At 37.8% G+C, this 23,157-nt stretch overlaps 1 long non-coding RNA gene across 1 annotated transcript in view; it reads right to left on the reverse strand.

Moving 5' to 3' along the window:
- LOC497256 (uncharacterized) overlaps positions 1 to 23,157 on the reverse strand; it is a 71,588-nt gene that overhangs the window by 23,091 nt on the left and 25,340 nt on the right. The window lies entirely within an intron of this gene.

Here is a 23,157-nt window from a genome sequence, read left to right on the forward strand (position 1 = left end):
CAACCCGCTGGCAGACCCTTCCCCAGATCACCCAATTACAACCCCCATGCTGATATCAAACTGTAATCATTCATGATGGAAACGGTAAGAGTTCCTCTGACGCTGTGCTTCTGACACCGCCCTTAGCCCCTCAGGCCATGCTCCCCCTCACTGCCAAGGGAATAAACCCGGCTGGTCTAGATTGGTCTTGCTCACAGGGCTCCTCCTGTGGGCCTTGTGCTGGAGCACATGGAACAGGAAGGATCTCGGCTTGGACACAGCTTCTTCAGAAAACCTTCTCTGACTCCCCTATGAGGCCAGGTCCCCTGTGCTGGGTTCCCCAACCTGGCCCTTCTTCCCTTGTGACAGCCTCTCCACACCTGGGCACGTTTCTCCCAGAACCCTGAAAGCTTCTGGTGGGCCCGGTGAGGACGGAGGCGTGCCTGACCACACTCCCGGTACTGACTGTGGCCCCTGTTATAAATTGTTTCATAAAATCTTCTTAGTTAATGGGCACAGGAATCAATGCTTCCTAATCTACCTCATACATAAGTTGCATCACTAAAATCATATTTTCATAAAGGGTCTTAACTCTTTCCAGTAGCCAATATAATGTGTCAAGGAAAATCTGTAAAAATAAAATGGCATCGATACTTCAAATTTAGTGGTATAAAGAAATTTCCAAATTCAAATTATTCCAAGTTACTTATTTTATAGGTCAAATATGAATATTCTTGTAAGTTTTTTAATTCTTCAACGTAAATTTCTGATGTTTAGAGAATACAAACTAAAAACAAATTTTGCTTCAAAACATTCTAATGTGCCACAAATTCATTTTAAAAAACTATTACCAAAGAGGATATATTTTTAAGTAATTTAAATATACAACTTCCAACCGACACACATATTGTAAATCCACTCTTCTAAAAATGAGGAGCAGCTATATTTTTACCTTAACATCCAAAATGCTGAATCTATAAAACGGGTTGCTTATTTACAACCACGTGTAAAATAGGGTATTGATAAATAATTCGGCATGCATATTCGTTCTGTTGGAAATTTTTTTAAATTATTGAAAATAATTGAAAATCTTACAAAACATCATCTGTTTGAAAGATGTTAGAAAAGAGAGGGTAGAAAAATAGGACTGCATTCTTATTGCGTAACGGTTCAACCTCAGTTATAAATACACACATATACACACATATCTTGAAGCCTGAGTAACTGTTCTCTCTCCAGCAGTTTCTGCCAGGCCTGCCAGTTCTTGGGTTTGGAAATTTCCTTCCTGCTCACCTCCACTGGCAGCATGTCCACCTCACCTAAGGCCCCTGGTTCCACTCCTAATGCTCCAAAAATGTGATGAGCGTAAAGAGAGTTTTCCTCTCAGGAAAACAATAATGGCTCGATCACTGATACACTATGGGTTCATAAAGAAAGATGAATCTATTTCATTTGTCTATTAACCTGGAAAAGCATATTGAATATTTTTCTTTTTTAGAATAAGTACAGGTACACATTGATCTTTTACTGAAAATAAAAAAATCATTAAAAGGTACATGTAAGAAAGTACTTTTTATTTAGCTAGATCCCAATGATTTTTTAATCTCTTTTCCTAAAAGGTTTATGGTAAAACCTTTTATATTTAAGTTTGCAAACCATTTCAAGTTAATTAGTGTATAAAGTGTGAAGTTTACACTGAGATTTTGAGCCTATAAATGTTTATTTTCTCCGGTGGCATTTGATTAAAAGACTATCCTTCCTCCTTCAATTGCTTTTGTACCTTTCTCAAAAATGAGTTGGGCATATTTGCTTGGGTCCATTTCTGAGTTCTGTATTCTGTTCTGCTGACCTATGTGTCCATCTCTCCACCAATATCATGTGCCTTTTCATATAAACTTAAAATAAGTTTATGTGCATAAAAAAATCTAGCTGGAGTTTTGATATGAATGTCATTAAGTCTACGCATCAATTTAAAGAGAATTGACATCTTTGCTATCTTGAGTCTTCCAAACCATTAGTAAGGTATGTTTGAATTTATTTAGTTCTTCTCTCAATTCTTTCATGCAGATTTTGTAATTTTTGCCATCTTGATCCTGCATATCTTGTCAGATTTATGCCTAAGTATTTTCTTTAGAGCAACTGTAAAGGTATTTTCAGTTTCCACACATTCATTGTTAGTTTATAGAAATATGATGAATTTTGTAGGATGGATCATTTATCCTGTGAACTTGCTAAGTAACTTATTATTTCTACAAGACTTTTTTAGATTCCCGGAGACATTACAAAGACAATCGTGTAATCTGCAATAGAGGCCGTTTTCCTTCTTTCTTTTTTTTTCAATCAGTATGCCTTACTTGTTTCTTGCCCAATTGTGCTGACTAGAACTTTCGGTGCTCTGTTAAATAGCAGAGGTGAGAGCAGATGTCTCTGCCTTGTTTCCACCCTGAGGGGAAAACCATTCAGTCTTTCACCATTATGTATCACATAGCTGTTGGTTTTTGATAAATACACTTGATAAAGTTCAGGAAGTTTCCTTCTATTTGTAGGTTTCTGAAAGTTTTTATCATAAAACTGTGCTATACTTTGGAAATGCTTTTTCTACATCAATTGACATAAGTGGCATAGTATTTTTGAATCATGTTTCTTTGTCCAGGTTGACATTCCTTGTCTTTTAATCGACACATGTTCACAATTTATATTTAAGATAACTGTAATATATATGTTAAGGCCTAGATGTTCTACTTTATAATTTGTTTTCTGTTTGTTCATTCTCTTTTTCTTTGCTCTTTTTTCTTACCTTCCTGTGAGTTACTTAAATAGTTTTAGGATTACATAATTATTTCTTTATACAGTTTTCTAGTACATCTCTACATTATTTTCTATCTTTACCTTATGATCAGTATTCGTTTGTAACCGACCACAGTCAACTGATATTGATGTTTTACCACTTTACATCTAGTGTAGAAACCTTATTTTCATGTAACTCCCTTTACACCCACCTTGTTTTTAAAAATAGAATTGCACTGAGTAACACATCTAATACACAGGATGCTGCAACAAGCAGTGTTATAATTTTTGTGAAAACACCAAATATGATTTTGAAAACTTCTGAGATGATGCATAACTTATTATATCTTTTTACATTTTCCCATTCTCTTATTCTTTTCTTTCTGAAGTTCCAATCATTCTTCTGATATCATTTGATTTCTGTTTAGGTGACTTACTTTTCACATTTTTAAGAGGAGTTTTGGTAAAAAACAAATTGTGTCAGTTTTCCTTCACATAAGGATGCATTTATTTCTCCTTCCTTTTTGAATGCTATTTTTGCTGGACATAGAATTTGCTGCTAACAGTTCTTTTCTTTCAGGACATAAAAAATGTTGGAACACTTCCTTGTGTCCTACACTATTTCAGATTGGGGGCAGGCTTTCAAGAATTTTTGTCTTCTGTTTTCAGAAGTTTTTATATGATATGTTTCAGTATGAATTTATTTGGGTTTATCTTATTTAGGATTTACTCAGCTACTTGATTCTGTAGATTTCTGTCTCTGTCGAAATTAAGATGTTTTCAGATATCAATTTATTGACTGTTTTTCCAGTCCCACTATTTCTTTCTGCTTTCTTTCTGGGTCCCTGATGATACATATACTCAGTATTGTGATGCTGTCTGACAGGTCCCTGAGGCTGTTCTCTGTTGTTTTGTTTTGTTTTGTATCTATTTTTTCTCTTTTGTTCAGATTAGAATCAGTAAATCCTACTGATATGTCCTGAAGTTTACTGATTCTATCTTCTGTCTTCTCCCCTTTACTATTAAGCTTACCCAGTAAAGTTTTATTTCAGTTGTATTTTTTAATTCTATAATTTCCAATTGGTTCATTCTTATAACTGCTATTTTTTTGTTTTCTGAGATTTTCAAGATTTGCATTTGGTTCAAAGGAATTCCTGTTAATAACTGCCTGCCGGTAGCACCTCACTCAGTCTCATTTCAGCTGGGTCAGTATGGAGGTTTAATTCACCACTGGGCCCTACTGACACCGGGAGTGGGGGGAAATTGGAGTACTAATTAGCCTAGATGCTACACCTTGTCAGTGTGGTTGATTTAGGCGGCAGCAGAGGTTCAGCTTCCTGCTGGTCTCCAGTGACATCAGGGTGGGGAGGATGACACTAGCCTACCTCACCCTGCCTCAGTCAATGTCATCGTTGCTGCATGAGTTTGAGGAGTTTGAGGCTAAGCTTGCCTCTGGCACCACCAGACACCATCTTGGCAAAGGAACTGTAGAACAGTCTGCTTTTGTCAGACAGGAAATGGAAGAGCTTCCTACTTGGTCTGTTGACATCACCTGAAAGAAATATCAGAATGCTACCTTCTTTTGCCAGGTGAAGAGAGAAGATTTACCTCCCTCCTTGGCCCCATGGACACCATCAGGCAAGGGAATCAGAGCGCTGCTGCTTCCTTCCACTAGGTGGAAGTGAAGTGGATCATCAGCTCCGCACTTGACTCCAATGAACTATGGTGTTTGAGGGTTTTTTCCATTGGTGTTTGGCTGGAGTCAGGTGCGTATTTCTTGCCAGGCCATTATTTTCCAGGTTCTTTGGCTGAGACAGCTGGGTTTGTGTTGGGTTTGGTTTTGCTGGGTGTGGTTTCTGGTTGGAGGCTTCTGCAGCACTCTCTCCAGGGCAGATGAGAAGAATAAGAAACCCAAGGAATGTACCACTGTGTCATTCCCCAGGGAGTCTGTCATCCTTATTATACTTTTCCAACATTTCCCATGCTCGTTTGCTGTTTTATGTGCAGGGTTTCAGTTAGAACACAAAGGATGTGATAGTAATGAGGCTTCTCCAACTGGGCTGAAAACAGATGTGTTTTTGTCTTAAAATCATAAGAGCAAGTATTTTTAAAAATACTTGAATAGGTTGGTGAGAATTCTGGGGAGAATTAACACACTACTGGGAAAGAAACATTTCTCAATGCTGCAAGAAAAAGTCACTCCACAACAGTGACAACTCCAGCTCACATGATCTACAACTGACTTACTCGTTTGTTCTCACCTAGTGTCAGAATTATCATTTGCCCCTGTGATAAAATTACCAACTAGAGTGTTTCTATAAAGTTTGTTTTGTCTTAGTCTTAGAGTATCCAATCAAAATTTTCTAAAGTGTCTTTAATCAGTTTCTTTTTCCTCCTAAAATATTCTGACATTCTGGTTTATTTTTTTTTTAATTTGAGAAAAATAAGGATGAGTTTGTATGGTGTAGCATGTGGTAGGTTTTGAGAAACCCATAGAGACATGTGTCCACCACCCAACACTACACAGAAGAGCTGCATCAGCCTAAAATTCTCTGTGTGATACCTTTGTGATCACTACACTCCAGCCTGGTGACAGGGTGAGACCCTGTCTCAAAAAAAAACAAAAAATACAAAAGGTAAATCTATGACTTTTCACACTGAAATCTATATTTATCCACTTATTTTCTTTACCATGGAGTTACTGCCTAAGAATTTGAAGCCGTTTGAGCTGACTATCCCCAGAAAACTGTTGTTGCTCTAATAGTAAATGAGAATGGCAAGAGCATAGGTTCTCTCCCCAGAGACCTTCATACATATATAGTTATTTCACACTCTAAAGGCAGTAATGGCAAAGCTAGTGATTACAGTCACCCCACAAAGTAGGACCAAATGCCACATAAATACTTGACTGACAAGGATGTGAGTGTAATGTAATTTTCGGATTAATCAAAATGAAAATTTTTGTCTAGGTTACAAAGATTTATTTCTGGATGCCAATAAAAAGAGACATAGAAAACCTAAATTTAATAAAAGAGGAGTAAATAAGGTCCTCCAATACAGAGAAAGCAATATGTTTCAAAGATTAATTATGGGCTGGGCCCTGTGGCTCATGCCTGTAATCCCAGGACTTTGGGAGGCTGAGACAGGAGAATAACTTGAGTCCAGGAGTTCTAGACCAGCCTGGGCAACATAGGGAGACCCCATTTGTACAAATAATTTAAAAACTAGCCATGTATGGTGGTGCACACTTGTAGTCTCAGCTACTCTAGTGGCTGAGGCAGGAGAGTCACCTGAGTCTCAAAAAAAAAAAAAAAGAATAATTATGCTTTTCTATTAAAATTGATCCTTAGAGGAGTGAAGTCAAGAAAAATGGTGGAATAGGACACACCCACCAGGAATCCAACTCTCCTCCTGGACAACAATTATACTGAAAGGGACTCTCTGAAGTGAATATTTTGGGACTCTGTAGTTGATGTGAACACTTGCAACTCCCAAGGAACAGACTGGCTGCTAAATTATGATAATGCTGGCTCTATTTCAGCCTTCAGCACAGTGGCAGCTGTCTATCCCCAACCACAGTCCCATGTCAGGCAGCTGTAGGGGTCATAACTGACATTTTGGGGCAAGGGAGCTTGCTGGAGCCAGGGTGGGCAATAAAATCTTGTCCCTGCAAATATCAGGGCTCTGTGTTGAGATTGTGGAATGTTTCTCTGATCACTGAGGTGTGGGCATGGAGGTTAGCCACCACTGTTCCAATCTGCATTCACCTGAAATGTCTCCTAGAAGATTTAAAGCAGCTACACCTGTTTTTTTGAACTTTCAGAAACAACTGCATATGTGGGAAATTGAGGAAGCTACCATGAATGCTAAAGGAAAGAAACAGGCCCAGAAAAGAACTGATGAAGACCTTAAGCTCTCAACTCAGATTTAGTCCCAACACAGAGACATCATATAACATTTTTTAAGCCCAGCAAGTCACAGAAAAAGGGGGAAAATTTGATTTCCAGAGTTCCTACATTATAAGTTTTAATGTCCAGTTTTCAACAACTACAACAAAAAGCAATGCATACAACAAAACAGGAAATTACAACCCATGAATGGTACCAAATAAATCAGCACAAAACCTGAGGAAGCCCAGATGTCACACACACACTATACAAATACTTTAAAGCAGTTGTCTTAAAGATGCTCAAAGAGTTAAGGAAGACATGAACAACTAAAAAAGTTATGCCTGAAAAAAATAAGTGTATTAATAAAGATATAAAATTATAAGGGGGAACCAAAAAATTCTTCCTATATCTAAAAAGTATACTACCTGTAGTATATCTAAAGTAGTATATCTAAAGTATATCTAAAAAGCATACTACCTGTAATGATAATATACTAGAAGGATTCAAAAGCAGATTTGAGCAAGCAGAAGAAAGAAGAAGTAAACCTGAGCAAACCACAACTGAAATTATTGAGTTGGAGGAACAGAAAGCAAAGAAGAGTAATGAAAAGTGGATAGCGCCTAAGAAGACTAGGAGACACCCGCAAGCAGACCAACATATGCATTGTGGGAATCCCCAAAGGATAAGAGAGTTAGAAAGGAGCAGAAAAAATATTTAAAGAAATAAAGCCTGAAAAATTCCCAAATTTTATGCAAGAAACAAATACACAAACTATCTCAGTAAACACCAAGTAGGATAAACTCAGGAACACATCTACTGTGACACATTATACTCAAAATATTGAAAGACAAAGATAAAGAAAGAATCCTGAAAGCAGCAAGAGGGAAGTGACTCACCCCATACAAGGAATTCTCATTAAGATTGCCAGCCAATTTCTATTAAATCCTTAGAAACCAGAAGTCAGTAGGTTGACATATTCAACATGCTTAAAGAGAGTCACTCAACAGTGTTGTATCTAGAAAAACTGTCTTACTTTTAAAATGAGACAGAAATAAAGATATTCCCAGATTTTTTTTTAAAAGTTGAGGGAGCTCATTACCCCTAGACATCCCCTGCAAGAAATGCTAATGAGAGTCCTTTGGGCTGAAATGAAAGGAAGATAGACCATATGCTGAATCAATGTAAAGAAATTAAGGTGAAGTAAAATATACAGTCAGTTGTAACAGGTGATTTTGTTTTTCTGATTTTAGTTTATAGCTCACCTTTTCTATTTTCTATAGAATTCAGAAGACAAAATACATGACTTGATAAATTTAATCTTTATTATTGGGCATACAATATGTAAAGATGTAATCTATGCCATCAAAACAGAACATGAGGATAGAGGTGTATAGAAGCAGAGTTTTTACATGTGATTCAAGTTAAGTTGGCATCAGTTTAAATTATATTGTTATAACTTTGGGATGCTAAATTGAACCCTATGGTAACCACCAAGAAAACACCTATAGAATATACATATAAGGAAATGAAAAAATCCAGACTTTCACTAGGAAAAAAAATTCAAGTAAAACAAACTCAGTAAGTAATAAAGGAAAGGAGTAGTAAAAATTATAAGGCATATAAAAATCAAATAACAAAGTACCAGAAGCAATCCCTTTCTTAGCAGAAATTACTTCCAATGTGAATGGATTAAACTCTGCAATTAAGAAACATTCATAGGCAGAATGACTAACAAAACCATCATAATCCAACTATACACTATCTATAAGAGACTCACTGTATATCTAAAGACACAAATAGGTGGAAAGTAAAATGATGGGAAAAGATATTACATGCAAAAAGTGAGCAGCTATAGTAGTATTACGTAAAATAGACTTTAAGAAGTTTAAAAGAGACAAGAAGGAATTGAATATTAATAAAAGGTTCAGTAGAGCAGTATCATAACAATTACAAATATATACGCACTTAATAAACCCTCAAAATACGTGAAGAAAAAATTGACAAAATAGAAGGGAGAAATAGGTTATTATACAATACTAGTTGTCAACTTCAATGTATACTTTCAATAATAGATGGATCAATCAGACAGAAAAAAAGTAAGAAAAGAGAGGACTTCAACAACACAATAAACCAACTAAAGATGCTTCCTGACTTACCACAGAGCTACTTCCCAATAAGCCCATTGTAAGTTAAAAATATGGTGAGTTGAGAAAAACATTTAATAAACCCACCCTACCAAATATAATTGCTTAGCCTAACCTACCTTAATCCCTCTCAGAATACTTATACTAGCCTACAATTGGGCAAAATTATCTATTACAAAACCTATTTTATAATAAAGTATTGAATATCTCATGTAATTTTTTGAACACTATATTGCAAGTCAAAAACAGAATGAAACAGAATGGTTGTATGGATACTCAAAGTACGGCTTCTGCTAAATGTATATTGCTTTTGAAACATTGTAAAGTCAAAAAGTTGTTAATTCAGGGACCAGTGGTATACATATAGGAAAGTTAAACAGAACACTCTAACCAAAAACAGTAGAATATATATTGAAGTGCACATAAGACATTCTCCAGGACAGATCATGTCAGGCTACAAGGTGAGTCTCAATCCATTAAAAAGATAAATATATGCAATGTATCTTCTCCAAACACAACAGGAGGTTAAAAATCAGTAACAGAAGAAAAACAAAAATATTCACAAATATGTGAAAAGTAAACAACACACACACACACACAAAAGCAAATCACAAGGAAATTAGAGAACAGTTAAAAGACAAATGAAAATGAAAACACAACATATTTTAACTTATTATATGCAGTGATCAGAAGAAAATTTGTAGATGTAAATATCTACATTAAATAACTTTATGCTGTAAGAAATGTACACGAGAAGAGCAAAATAAACCCAAAGCTCGCAAATAAAAGGCAGTGATAAAGACTGGACTGGAAATAAGCAAAATAGAGCACTGAAAAAATAAAGAAAATAAAGAAATAATTGATCTTTGAAAAGATCAAAAAATTGACAAAACCTTTGGCAATTGTCAGTGTAGACACAACTGAAATCAGAAATGACAGTGGAGACTTTGCTACTAACTTAGAGATAAAAAGAATTATATGAAAATACGATAAACTATTGCATGCCAAAAAAATTAGATAACCTAGTGAAAGAGACAAACTTCTTAAAACATAGAAATTACCAAATTGACTCAAATAAATAGAACATCTCAACAGGCCTATAACAAGTAGAGATTAAATCAGTAATAAAAATCTCAAAACAAAGAAAAGTTCTGGGTCACATGGCTTCATCAGAGCATTCTACCATTTAAATAAGAATTAACACTAATCTTTCTCAAACTCTTCTAAACAATTGAAGAGTACAGAATACTTCTTAACTCATTCTATGAGTCTAGCACTAATATGATACCAAAGCCAAATAAAAACATCATTAAAAAAAAGACAGACACATAATCCTTATGACTTTAGATGCAAAACTCCCAAACAAATATTAGTAAGTTGACTCCAACAGTCTACTAAAAGATAGATGCCAACACAATAATACTGGGGGACTTCAGTACCCCACTGATAGCATTAGACAGGTCATCAAAACAGAAAGTCAACAAAGAAAAAATGGATTTAATCTATACCCTAGAATAAATGTATTTAACAGATATTTATAGAACATTCTACCCAACAACTGCAGAATATACATTCTACTCATCAGCACATAGAATATTCTCCAAGATAGACCATATGATAGGCCACAAGTCTCAATAAATTTAAGAAAATCAAAATTATATCAAGTACTCTCTCATACCACAGTGGAATAAAATTGGAAATCAACTCCAAAAGGAACCCTCAAAACCATGCAAATATATGGGAATTAAATAACCTGCTCCTGAATGATCTCTGGTCAACAATGAAGTCAAGGTGGGAATTTAAAAATTCTTTGAACTGAATGATAATAGTGACAGAACCTATCAAAACCTCTGGGATACAGCAAAAGTGGTGCTAAGAGAAAGTTCATAGCATTGAATGCCTACATCACAAAGTCTGAAAGAGTACAAATAGATAATCTAAGATCATACCTCAAGGAACTAGAGAAACAAAAACAAACCAAACCCAAGCCCAGCAGCAGAAAAAAAAAAAATGAAGATGAGAGTAGAACTAAATGAAATTAAAACAAAAAAAAAATTAATTAAAAAAATACAAAAGATAAATGAAACAAAAAACTGGTTCTTTGAAAAGATAAACAACAGGGACACACCATTAGTGAAATTAACCAAGAAAAGAAGACAGAGGATACAAGTAAGCTCAATTAGAAACGAAACAGGAGATATTACAACTCATACCACAGAAATACCAAAGATAATTTAAGGCTACTGTGAACATCCTTATTCACACAAACTAGAAAACCTAGAGGAGATGAATAAATTCCTGTAAATATACAACACTCCTAGATTAAGCCAAGAAGAAATAGAAACTCTGAACAGAACAATAACAGAGAGATTGAAACAGTAATTTTTAAAATGCCAATGAAAAATAAAGTCCAGGACCAGATGAATTTACAGCTGAATTCTGTAAGGCATTCAAAAAAAATTGATACCAATTCTATTGACACTATTCCAAAAAAAATCCAGCATTGGGGAGATCCCACATTGCTTTATATTTAAAACCCTCAGCAAAATTGGCATAGAAAGGACATACCTTGTTGGGTGCCAAGATGGCCGAAAAGGAACAGCTCCAGTCTACGGCTACCAGCATGAGCGATGTGGAAGATGAATGATTTCTAAATTTCCAACTGAGGTACTGGGTTCATTTCACTGGGGATTGTCAGACAGTGGGTGCAGGACAGTGGATGCAGTGCACCAAGCATGAGCCGAAGCTGGGTGAGGCATTGCCTCATCCGGGAAGCGCAAGGGGTCAGGGAATTCCCTTTCCTGCCCAAGGAAAGGGGTGACAGACAGCACCTGGAAAATTGGGTCACTCCCACCCTAATACTGTGCTTTTCCAACAGTCTTAGCAAACGGCACACCAGGAGATTATATCCCATGCCTGGCTCGGAGGGTCCTACGCTCACAGAGCCTTGCTCATTGCTAGCATTAGCAGTCTGATATCAAACTGCAAGGCGGCAGCGAGGCTGGGGGAGGGGCGCCCGCCATTGCCGAGGCTTGAGTAGGTAAGCAAAGTGGCTAGGAAGCTCGAACTGGGTGGAACCCACCGCAGCTCAAGGAGGCCTGTCTGCCTCAGTAGACTTCACCTCTGGGGGCAGGGCATAGCCAAATAAAGGCAGCAGAAACCTCTGCAGACTTAAATGTCCCTGTCTGACAGCTTTGACGACAGCAGTGGTTCTCCCAGCACGCAGCTTGAGATCTGAGAACAGAGACTGCCTCCTCAAGTGGGTCCCTGACCCCCGAGGAGCCTAACTGGGAGGCACCCCCCAGTAGGGGCAGACTGACACCTCACAGGGCCAGGTACTCCTCTGAGACAAAACTTCCAGAGGAACGATCAGGCAGCAACATTTGCTGTTCACCAATATCTGCTGTTCTGCAGCCTCTGCTGCTGATACCCAGGCAAACAGGGTCTGGGGTGGGCCTCCAGCAAACTCCAACAGACGTGCAGCTGAGGGTCCTGACTGTTAGAAGGAAAACTAACAGAAAGAACATCCACACCAAAACCCCATCTTTACATCATCATCATCAAAGTCCAAAGGTAGATAAAACCACAAAGATGGGGAAAAAACAAAGCAGAAAAACTGACAATTCTAAAAATCAGAGTGCCTCTCCTCCTCCAAAGGAACGCAGCTCCTGACCAGCAATGGAACAAAGCTGGACGGAGAATGACTTTGACGAGTTGAGAGAAGAAGGCTTCAGACAATCAAACTACTCCAAGCTAAAGAAGGAAGTTCGAACCCATTGCAAAGAAGTTAAAAACCTTGAAAAAAGATTAGACAAATGGCTAACTAGAATAACCAATGCAGAGAAGTCCTTAAAGGACCTGATGGAGCTGAAAACCACAGCACGAGAACTACGTGACAAATGCACAAGCCTCAGTAGCCAATTCGATCAACTGGAAGAAAGGGTATCAGTGATGGAAGATGAAATGAACGAAATGAAACAAGAAGAGAAATTTAGAGAAAAAAGAATAAAAAGAAACGAACAAATATGGGACTATGTGAAAAGACCAAATCTACGTCGATTGGTGTACCTGAAAGTGATGGGGAGAAAGGAACCAAGTTGGAAAACACTCTGCAGGATATTATCCAGACCTTCCCCAATCTAACAAGGCAAGCCAACATTCAAATTCAGGAAATACAGACAATGCCACAAAGATACTCCTCGAGAAGAGAAACTCCAAGACACATAATTGTCAGATTCGCCAAAGTTGAAATGAAGGCAAAAATGTTAAGGGCAGCCAGAGAGAAAGGTAGGGTTACCCACAAAGGGAAGCCCATCAGACTAACAGCAGATCTCTCGGCAGAAACTCTACAAGCCAGAAGAGAGTGGGGCCCAATATTCAACATTCTTAAAGAATTTTCAACCCAGAATTTCATATCCAGCAAAACTAAGCTTCATAAGTGAAGGAGACATAAACTCCTTTACAGACAAGCAAATGCTGAGAGATTTTGTCACCACCAGGCCTGCCCTGAAAGAGCTCCTTAAGGAAGCACTAAACATGGAAAGGAACAACCAGTACCAGCCACAACAAAAACATGCCCAATTGTAAAGACCATTGAGACTAGGAAGAAACTCCATCAACTAACGAGCAAAATAACCAGCTAACATCATAATGACAGGATCACATTCACACATAACAATATTAACCTTAAATGTAAATGGACTAAATGCTCCAATTAAAAGACACAGACTGGCAAATTGGATAAAGCGTCAAGACCCATCAGTGTGCTGTATTCAGGAAACCTATCTCACGTGCAGAGACACACATAGGCTCAAAATAAAGGGATGGAGGAAGATCTACCAAGCAAATGGAAGACAAAAAAAAAAAAAAACGGGTTGCAATCCTAGTCTCTGATAAAACAGACTTTAAACCAACAAAGATCAAAAGAGACAAAAAAGGCCATTATGTAATGGTAAAGGGATCAATTCAACAAGAAGAACTAACCATCCTAAATACATATGCACCCAATACAGGAGCACCAAGATTCATAAAGCAAGTCCTTAGAGACCTACAAAGAGACTTAGACTCCCACACAATAATAATGGGAGACTTTAACACCCCACTGTCAACATTAGACAGATCAACGAGACAGAAAGGTAACAAAGATATCCAGGAACTGAACTCAGCTCTGCACCAAGTGGACCTAATAGACATCTACAGAACTCTCCACCCCAAATCAACAGAATATACATTCTTTTCAGCACCACACCACACCTATTCCAAAATTGACCACATAGTTAGAAGTAAAGCACTCCTCAGCAAATGTAAAAGAACAGAAATTATACCAAACTGTCTCTCAGACCACAGTGCAATCAAATTAGAACTCAGGATTAAGAAACTCACTCAAAACCGCTCAACTACATGGAAACTGAACAACCTGCTCCTGAATGACTACTGGGTACATAACGAAATGAAGGCAGAAATAAAGATGTTCTTTGAAACCAGTGAGAACAAAGACACAACATACCAGAATCTCTGGGACACATTCAAAGCAGTGTGTAGAGGGAAATTTATAGCACTAAATGCCCACAAGAGAAAGCAGGAAAGATCTAAAATTGACACCCTAACACCACGATTAAAAGAACTAGAGAAGCAAGAGAAAGCACATTCAAAAGCTAGCAGAAGGCAAGAAATAACTAAGATCAGAGCAGAACTGAAGGAAATAGAGACACAAAAAACCCTTCAAAAAATCAATGAATCCAGGAGCTGGTTTTTTGAAACGATCAATAAAATTGACAGAGCACTAGCAAGACTAATAAGAAAAGAGAGAAGAATCAAACAGACGCAATAAAAAATGACAAAGGGGATCACCACCTATCCCACAGAAATACAAACTACCATCAGAGAATACTATAAACATCTCTACGCAAATAAATTAGAAAATCTAGAAGAAATGGATGAATTCCTCGACACATAAACCCTCCCAAGACTAAACCAGGAAGAAGTTGAATCTCTGAATAGACCAATAACAGGCTCTGAAATTGAGGCAATAATTAATAGCTTACCAACCAAAAAAAGTCCAGGGCCAGATGGATTCACAGCCGAATTCTACCAGAGGTACAAGGAGGAGCTGGTACCATTCCTTCTGAAACTATTCCAATCAATAGAAAAAGAGGGAATCCTCCCTAACACATTTTATGCGGCCAGTATCATCCTGATACCAAAACCTGGCAGAGACACAACAAAAAAAGAGAATTTTAGACCAATATCCTTGACGAACATTGATGCAAAAATCCTCAATACAATACTGGCAAACCAAATCCAGCAGCACATCAAAAAGCTTATCCACCATGATCAAGTGGGCTTCATCCCTGGGATGCAAGGCTGGTTCAACATATGAAAATCAATAAATGTAATCCAGCATATAAACAGAACCAAAGACAAAAACCACATGATTATCTCAATAGATGCAGAAAAGGCCTTTGATAAAATTCAACAACCCTTCATGCTAAAAACTCTCAATAAATTAGGTATTGATGGGACGTATTTCAAAATAATAAGAGCTATCTATGACAAACCCACAGCCAATATCATACTGAATGGACAAAAACTAGAAGCATACCCTTTGAAAATGGGCACAAGACAGGGATGCCCTCTCTCACCACTCCTATTCAACATAGTGTTGGAAGTTCTGGCCAGGGCAATCAGGCAGGAGAAGGAAATAAAGGGCATTCAATTAGGAAAAGAGGAAGTCAAATTGTCCCTCTTTGCAGATGACATGATTGTATATCTAGAAAACCCCATTGTCTCAGCCCAAAATCTCCTTAAGCTGATAAGCAACTTCAGCAAAGTCTCAGGATACAAAATCAATGTGCAAAAATCACATGCATTCTTATACACCAATAACAGACAGAGAGCCAAATCATGAGTGAACTCCCATTCACAATTGCTTCAAAGAGAATAAAATACTTAGGAATCCAACTTACAAGGAACGTGAAGGACCTCTTCGAGGAGAACTACAAACCACTGCTCAATGAAATAAAACAGGATACAAAGAAATGGAAGAACATTCCATGCTCATGGGTAGGAAGAATCAATATCGTGAAAATGGCCATACTGACCAAGGTAATTTATAGATTCAATGCCATCCCCATCAAGCTACCAATGACTTTCTTCACAGAATTGGAAAAAACTACTTTCAAGTTCATATGGAACCAAAAAACAGCCTGCATCACCAAGTCAATCCTAAGCCAAAAGAACAAAGCTGGAGGCATCACGCTACCTGACTTCAAACTATACTGCAAGGCTACAGTAACCAAAACAGCATGGTACTGGTATCAAAACAGAGATACAGACAAATGGAACAGAACAGAGCCCTCAGAAATAACGCCGCATATCTACAACTATCTGATCTTTGGCAAACCTGAGAAAAACAAGCAATGGGGAAAGGATTTCCTATTTAATAAATGGTGCTGGGAAAACTAGCTAGCCATATGTAGAAAGCTGAAACTGGATCCCTTCCTTACACCTTATACAAAAATTAATTCAAGATGGATCAAAGACTTACATGTTAGACCTAAAACCATAAAAACCCTAGAAGAAAACCTAGGCAATACCATTCAGGACATAGGCATGGGCAAGGACTTCATGTCTAAAACACTAAAAGCAATGGCAACAAAAGTCAAAATTGACAAATGGGATCTAATTAAACTAAAAAGCTTCTGCACAGCAAAAGAAACCACCATCAGAGTGAACAAGCAACCTACAGAATGGGAGAAAATTTTTGCAACCTACTCATCTGACAAAGGGCTAATATCCAGAATCTACAATGAACTCAAACAAATTTACAAGAAAAAAAAAACAACCCCATCAAAAAGTGGGCAAAAGATATGAGCAGACACTTCTCAAAAGAAGACATTTATGCAGCCAAAAAACACATGAAAAAATGCCACCATCACTGGCCATCAGAGAAATGCAAATCAAAACCACAATGAGATACCATCTCACACCAGTTAGAATGGTGATCCTTAAAAAGTCGGGAAACAACAGGTGCTGGGGAGGATGTGGAGAAATAGGAACATTTTTACACTGTTGGTGGGACTGTAAACTAGTTCAACCATTGTGGAATTCAGTGTGACAATTCCTCAGGGATCTAGAACTAGAAATACCATTTGACCTGGCCATCCCATTACTGGGTATATATCCAAAGGATTATAAATCATGCTGCTATAAAGACACATGCACACATATGTTTATTGCAGCACTATTCACAATAGCAAAGACTTGGAACCAACCCAAATGTCCAACAACAATAGACTGGATTAAGAAAATGTGGCACATATACACCATGGAATACTATGCAGCCATAAAAAAGGATGAGTTCATGTCCTTTGTAGGGACATGGATGAAGCTGGAAGCCATCATTCTCAGCAAACTATCTCAAGGACAAAAAACCAAACACCGCATGTTCTCACTCATAGGTGGGAATTGAACAATGAGAACACATGGACACAGGAAGGGGAACATCACACACCAGGGACTGCTGTGGGGTGGGGGGAGTGGGGAGAGATAGCATTAGGAGATATACCTAATGCTAAATGACGAGTTAATGGGTGCAGCACACCAACATGGCACATGTATACATATGTAACAAACCTGCACGTTGTGCACATGTACCCTAAAACTTAAAAGTATAATAATAATAAAATTTTTTAAAAAAGAAAAAAACAAAAGTATCTATTGTAAACAAATAGGTAATCTGACACAGACAAATATGGATATAAAATAAAGCTCTGGGCAAAGACACATCATCCAAATGCAATAAAAGTAAAAACAAGGATGGCAATGTGAGTATCAAAGTGGAATTCAATGTTAAAAAGTGTTTTTCTTTTTTCTTTTTGGTTGAAAAAAGGGATCCTATAATAATACCACTTAATACATGAAAAAGGACAAAAAATGCACTAACCATTAAGTGTATGTATGCCCGTCCATCAGACGCACAAATAAAATTAGCAAAAAAGCACATATAACTGCAAAGTGAACTATTAAAAGTGATTTTTATTGTATCTCTTCCAGAATATGAAACAAGTAGATCAAAATTAGTAAAGATAAAGATTTGAAAAATAGCAACAAGCAAGATTTAATTAAAGAGAATTTTGGCCCATACAACAAAATATAATTTTTCTCTTATATCTGTTGAACAAAGTTCATTGAGTAACTTGGCTTCAAGGAAAATCTTGATAAATTGTTGAAAGTTGAGACTTGATAGTCTGCATTTTCTGACAATACAATAAAATAAAAAACAGCTAAAACATACTTTAATAATTTGGGAATGAAGAAACTCTCCCAAATAACTAAGAATCAAAGGGAAACATCAAGATGAACTTATGCATTTCATAGATAAAGATGTACTTAAAGAAACTTTACAACCCTAAATATATCCAGCATAAAACTTAAGAAAATAAGGAAAAGAACAACAAATTACATCGAAAAGTGGAAAAAAGAGAAAGTACCTGAAAAGAAAAAGAGAAAAAAATTAATACTAAAAGAGTAGGGAGTATTTTATCGGACATTTCAAAATGTCCAATAAAATAGATAAACCTTTCAAACACTTGATTCTTTTTAAACAGAGAGAAAAATGAATGATATATAAATATACTAACTGTAATGATAAAGGAGCTACTAGTCTGGATATGAAAGAGAACAAAATGGAAATGGAAACATGCAATTCTATGTAATATATTCTTTAAATCTTTAGCAAAATATATCATGATAATGAAACAGAAACGAAAATATAAACAGATCGGTACATATAAAAGAGAGGAAACTAAGATGTGCATCATTCACTCCTCAGATCCCTCCTAAGTCCCCACAGTCATCCTCCCCCACAACCCCACAGTCTGCCCTCACTCCGCCCTCAGATCCACCACCAGACAGAGACCCCCAGTCCGTCCTCACTCCGCCTGCAGATCCACCACCAGAGACCCCTCAGTGCCCCCTCACTCCTCCCTCAGATCCACCATCAGAGATCGCTCCAACTTCCACTATTCCATCCACTGACCGTCCCCATCACTGACCGGAGGGCTCAGGACAGACATCAGAGATTCTTCCTGCTCAGTCCACAGATGCTGCCATCCCTCTACTCACCTGCCCTCATCCACGTCCTCTCAGGACAGTGGTCATTTGCCTCGGGCGGTGACTACAGTCGCAAGAACCAGAACAGGACCCACTTCCTTTTTCTCAATGCCTCCCAGGCCTAGAGGTACTTCTTACAGTGCTGCCTGGGTGTGTGCAAGCTCAGCAGTCTTCGTGGCCAAAGGTTGCCAGTAGTCAACATGGCGCTTTGCCAAACACACTCCTGTTTCTGCGGCTTAGGCTGAGCGCCAGTATGGCGGCGCTCATGTAGACACTCTGGCCTGTGGGCGGCAATGTTGAGGCGATGTAGAGACTGAGGGGCTGAGGGTTGTCCAAAGGAAAGTAAGCAAGCAGAGGTGTGTCCCATCATACTAAGCCAGGACACAATCAAAGCCTGTCACCTCAGGTTACAGTCTTTCTCCAATGCTTCTGTGGACACAACAACACTGTTAACCAACAGGAACTAATCAGCATTTACATAACACCGCAAACGCAGCCGAATACACATTTTATTCGTGTCAATGGGACACTTAGCAAGATATGAACTAACCTGGGCCATAAAACAAATCTCAACAAATTTAAAACAATTGAAATCATACAGTTTGTTCTCTGAACACAATAGAATTAAACTAGAACTCAGTAACAGGAAGATAAAAGGAAAATATCCAAACACGCAAAAACACATGCTAAATAATCCATTGTTCAAAGAGAAAGTCTCAAATTTTTAAAATACATTGAAATGAATGAAAGTGAAACATAACATATCAAAATTTGTGGAATGTGGCTAAATCAGTGGTGAGAAAAAAATGTATACCACTAAGGGCTTACATTAGAAAAGAAAAAAATTTCAAAGCAATAACCAAGGTCCCTCACGTACGAGAAAAAGAAGAGCAAAATACACCGAAAGCAAGTGAAAGAAAGGAAATAATAAGGATAAGAAGATAACTCAATAAAATGTAAAAAGAAAAAATGTAGCCCACTAAGGGCTTACATTAGAAAAGAAAAAAATTTCAAAGCAATAACCAAGGTCCCTCACATATTAGAAAAAGAAGAGCAAAATAAACCGAAAGCAAGTGAAAGAAAGGAAATAATAAGGATAAGAAAATAACTCAATAAAATGTAAAAAGAAAAATAGAGACAAACCGATTAAACAAAAGCTGGTTCTATAAATGTTAATAAAATTGACAAGCCTGTAGAGGAGACACAAAATATCAATATCAAGAACGAAACAGGAGATACCACTGTTGACCATGACGAAATCAAAAGAATAAACAGAATACTACAAACAACTCTACAAACATAAATTTCACAACATGGATGAAATGCATTAATTCTTGAAAAACCACAAATTCTCTCTTACAACATGAAATAGTTATGTTGAATAGACTTAGAACTGAAGTCATAATTTGAAACATCTGAAAAGGAAATCTTCAGGCCTGGATAGCTAGATCAGAGAATTCTAACAAACATTTAAAGGTTAACACGAATTATATCCAGTCTCTTCCAGAATAAAGGATAGAAAGAAGACAATAGAAAGATATTCCAACTCATGAGGCCAGTGTTAGTTACTCTGATATCAGAGCTAAAGACAGAAGAAGAAAATAAATCAGTATTCTTCATGAATATAGATGGAAAAAATTCTCAACCAAATAATAGCAAAAATAATTCAACAACATATAAAAATAATTACAAACCATGAACAAGTGATATTTATTCCAGGAATACAAAGCTGTTTTGGTATTCAAAAATCAATTCGTGTAACCTGCCACATTAGCAAGCTAAAGATAAGCATATTACATGATTATATCAATGCAGGAAAAGCATTTGAAAAAATTCAACACCCATTTATAATGAAAAAAAAACTTTCAGGAATTAGGAACAGAGGTAAACTTTCTAACTTTTAAGTTAGAAAAAAATCTACAGCTAACATCAAACTAAAAGATGAAAGAGACTGAATGCTTTCCCGTTCAGTTTGGGAAGAAGGAAAATATGTCTGTGCTCATCATTTTTATTCTACATAGCTCTGGAAGACCCAGCCAGCTGACAAAAATTCTCTCCATAACCAGACTCTAGCCATACTCCTTTGAACTCTCTTGTCAACTAAACCCTGGCTTTTGGGCTTTTGTGTTGTCTATAAATTGCCCAATATTAGTAAGAATCCTAGCAAGGCAATTTAGTCAGAATCCTCCATCTTCATATCTGACCACCATTGGTATCTAATTGGTTTTCTTATTGTCTACCATCCCCAGGTGATATCTGATCACTCTGGCATGGCTTCAGCAAGAATTCTGTGAGGTCAGTTTAGCCAGATTCCCTCCTATTAGTAATTTTCCGTACACTACCAACCCTCCACCCTGCTCTGTGGCTATAAAATTTCTATTCAGAGGGAAACCTGAATATATGGAAACTGGAGATTACTGCAAGACCCTATTGCAGTAATCTCTGTATCTATTGCAATAATCCCTCTGAATAAAGTTTGTCTTACTATTTTTTAACAGGTGTCACGAATAGTTTTTTCTATAATACAGCTCAACAAAACAAGTCTGAAATAGAAGAATAAAGTGGGAGGAATTATTCTCCCCAATTTTTTAACTTTTTACATAGCTACAGAAATCAAGACAGTGTGGTATTGGCAGGGGGACAGACAGTTCAATAAAACAGAATTGAGAACTCAGAAATAGTTCCATACAAGTACAACCAACTGACTTTTGAAAAAAGTGCAATATCAATTCAATAGTACAGTGGTTCTGGAGCAGTTAGATATCATAGACAAAACAATAACCTCAATCTAACCTCATGTCTTTATTAAAAAAAAAAAGGATCAGCCGGGCGTGGTGGCTCATGCCTGTAATCCCAGCACTTTGGGAGGCTGAGGCGGGAGGATCACGAGGTCAGGAGATCGAGACCACCCTGGCTAACAAGGTGAAACCCCGTCTCTGCTAAAAATACAAAAAAATTAACCGGGCATGGTGGCAGGTGCCTGTAGTCCCAGCTACTCGGGAGGCTGAGGCAGGAGAATGGCGTGAACCCGGGAGGCGGAGCTTGCAGTGAGCCGAGATGGCACCACTGCACTTCCAGCCTGGGCGACAGAGCGAGACTCCATCTCAAAAAAAAAAAAAAATCACATATCTCAATGTAAAAATATGAAATTTAATGAGAAATTCTTCAGGTCCTAGGACTTGATGAATAATTATTAGACATGACACCAGAAAAGCACAATCAATTCTAAGAATTTATTAATTGGATGTTATCAAAATTTAAAACTTTTGCCCTGCATAAGAGCCTGTTAATAAAAAGACAGGGTAAAAACTGGAAGAAAAGTGCAAACCACACCTGATAAACCATATCTGACAAGGAGCTCATATCTAGAATATTGTTTAAAGTTTTCAAAAGTCAACAACGACAACAAGAAAAAACAAGCCAATTAGAAAATGGGCTAAAGGCACGAACCGATATTTCACTGAACAGGATAGATTGATGGAAAATGAGAAAATAAAAAAACTTTTATCAGAGGAATGCCAGTCCTTTTAAATTATCAAGCCCAGAGAGACATTAAAATAAGACAGCAGGCCCGGCACGGTGGCTCACGCCTGTAATCCCAGCACTTTGGGAGGCCAAGGCGGGCGGATCACAAGGTCAGGAGATCGAGACCATCCTGGCCAACACGGTGAAACCCAGTCTCTACCAAAAATACAAAAAATTAGCCGGGCGTGGTAGCACATGCCTGTAGTCCCAGCTACTCGGGAGGCTGAGGCAGGAGAATGGCATGAACCCAGGAGGCACAGGTTGCCGTGAGCCAAGAGCGTGCCACTGCACTCCAGCCTGGGCAACAGAGTGAGACTCCATCTCAAAAAGAAAGGAAAACTGCAGGTCCTGCACATGTACCCCGGAACTTAAAATAAAATTACATAAGTACATAAATAGAATTTTAAAAAAATCTTAATTGTATGTGGGTAGGTCCCTTTGATTCAAAGTGAGATAGAAGGATGGGCGCAGTGGCTCATGCCTGTAATCCCAGCACTTTGGGAGGCAGAGGCGGGCAGATCACAAGGTCAGGAGATCGAGGCCATCCTGGCTAACACGGTGAAACCCCGTCTCTACTAAAAATACAAAAAGAAATTAGTAGGGCGTGGTGGTGGTGGGCGCCTGTAGTCCCAGCTACTCAGGAGGCTGAGACAGGAGAATGGCTGGAACCCGGGAGGCGGAGCTTGCAGTGAGCCAAGATCACGCCACTGCACTCCAGC

Source organism: Homo sapiens, chromosome 9, assembly GCF_000001405.40.
Source record: "Homo sapiens chromosome 9, GRCh38.p14 Primary Assembly".
NCBI lineage: Eukaryota > Metazoa > Chordata > Mammalia > Primates > Hominidae > Homo > Homo sapiens.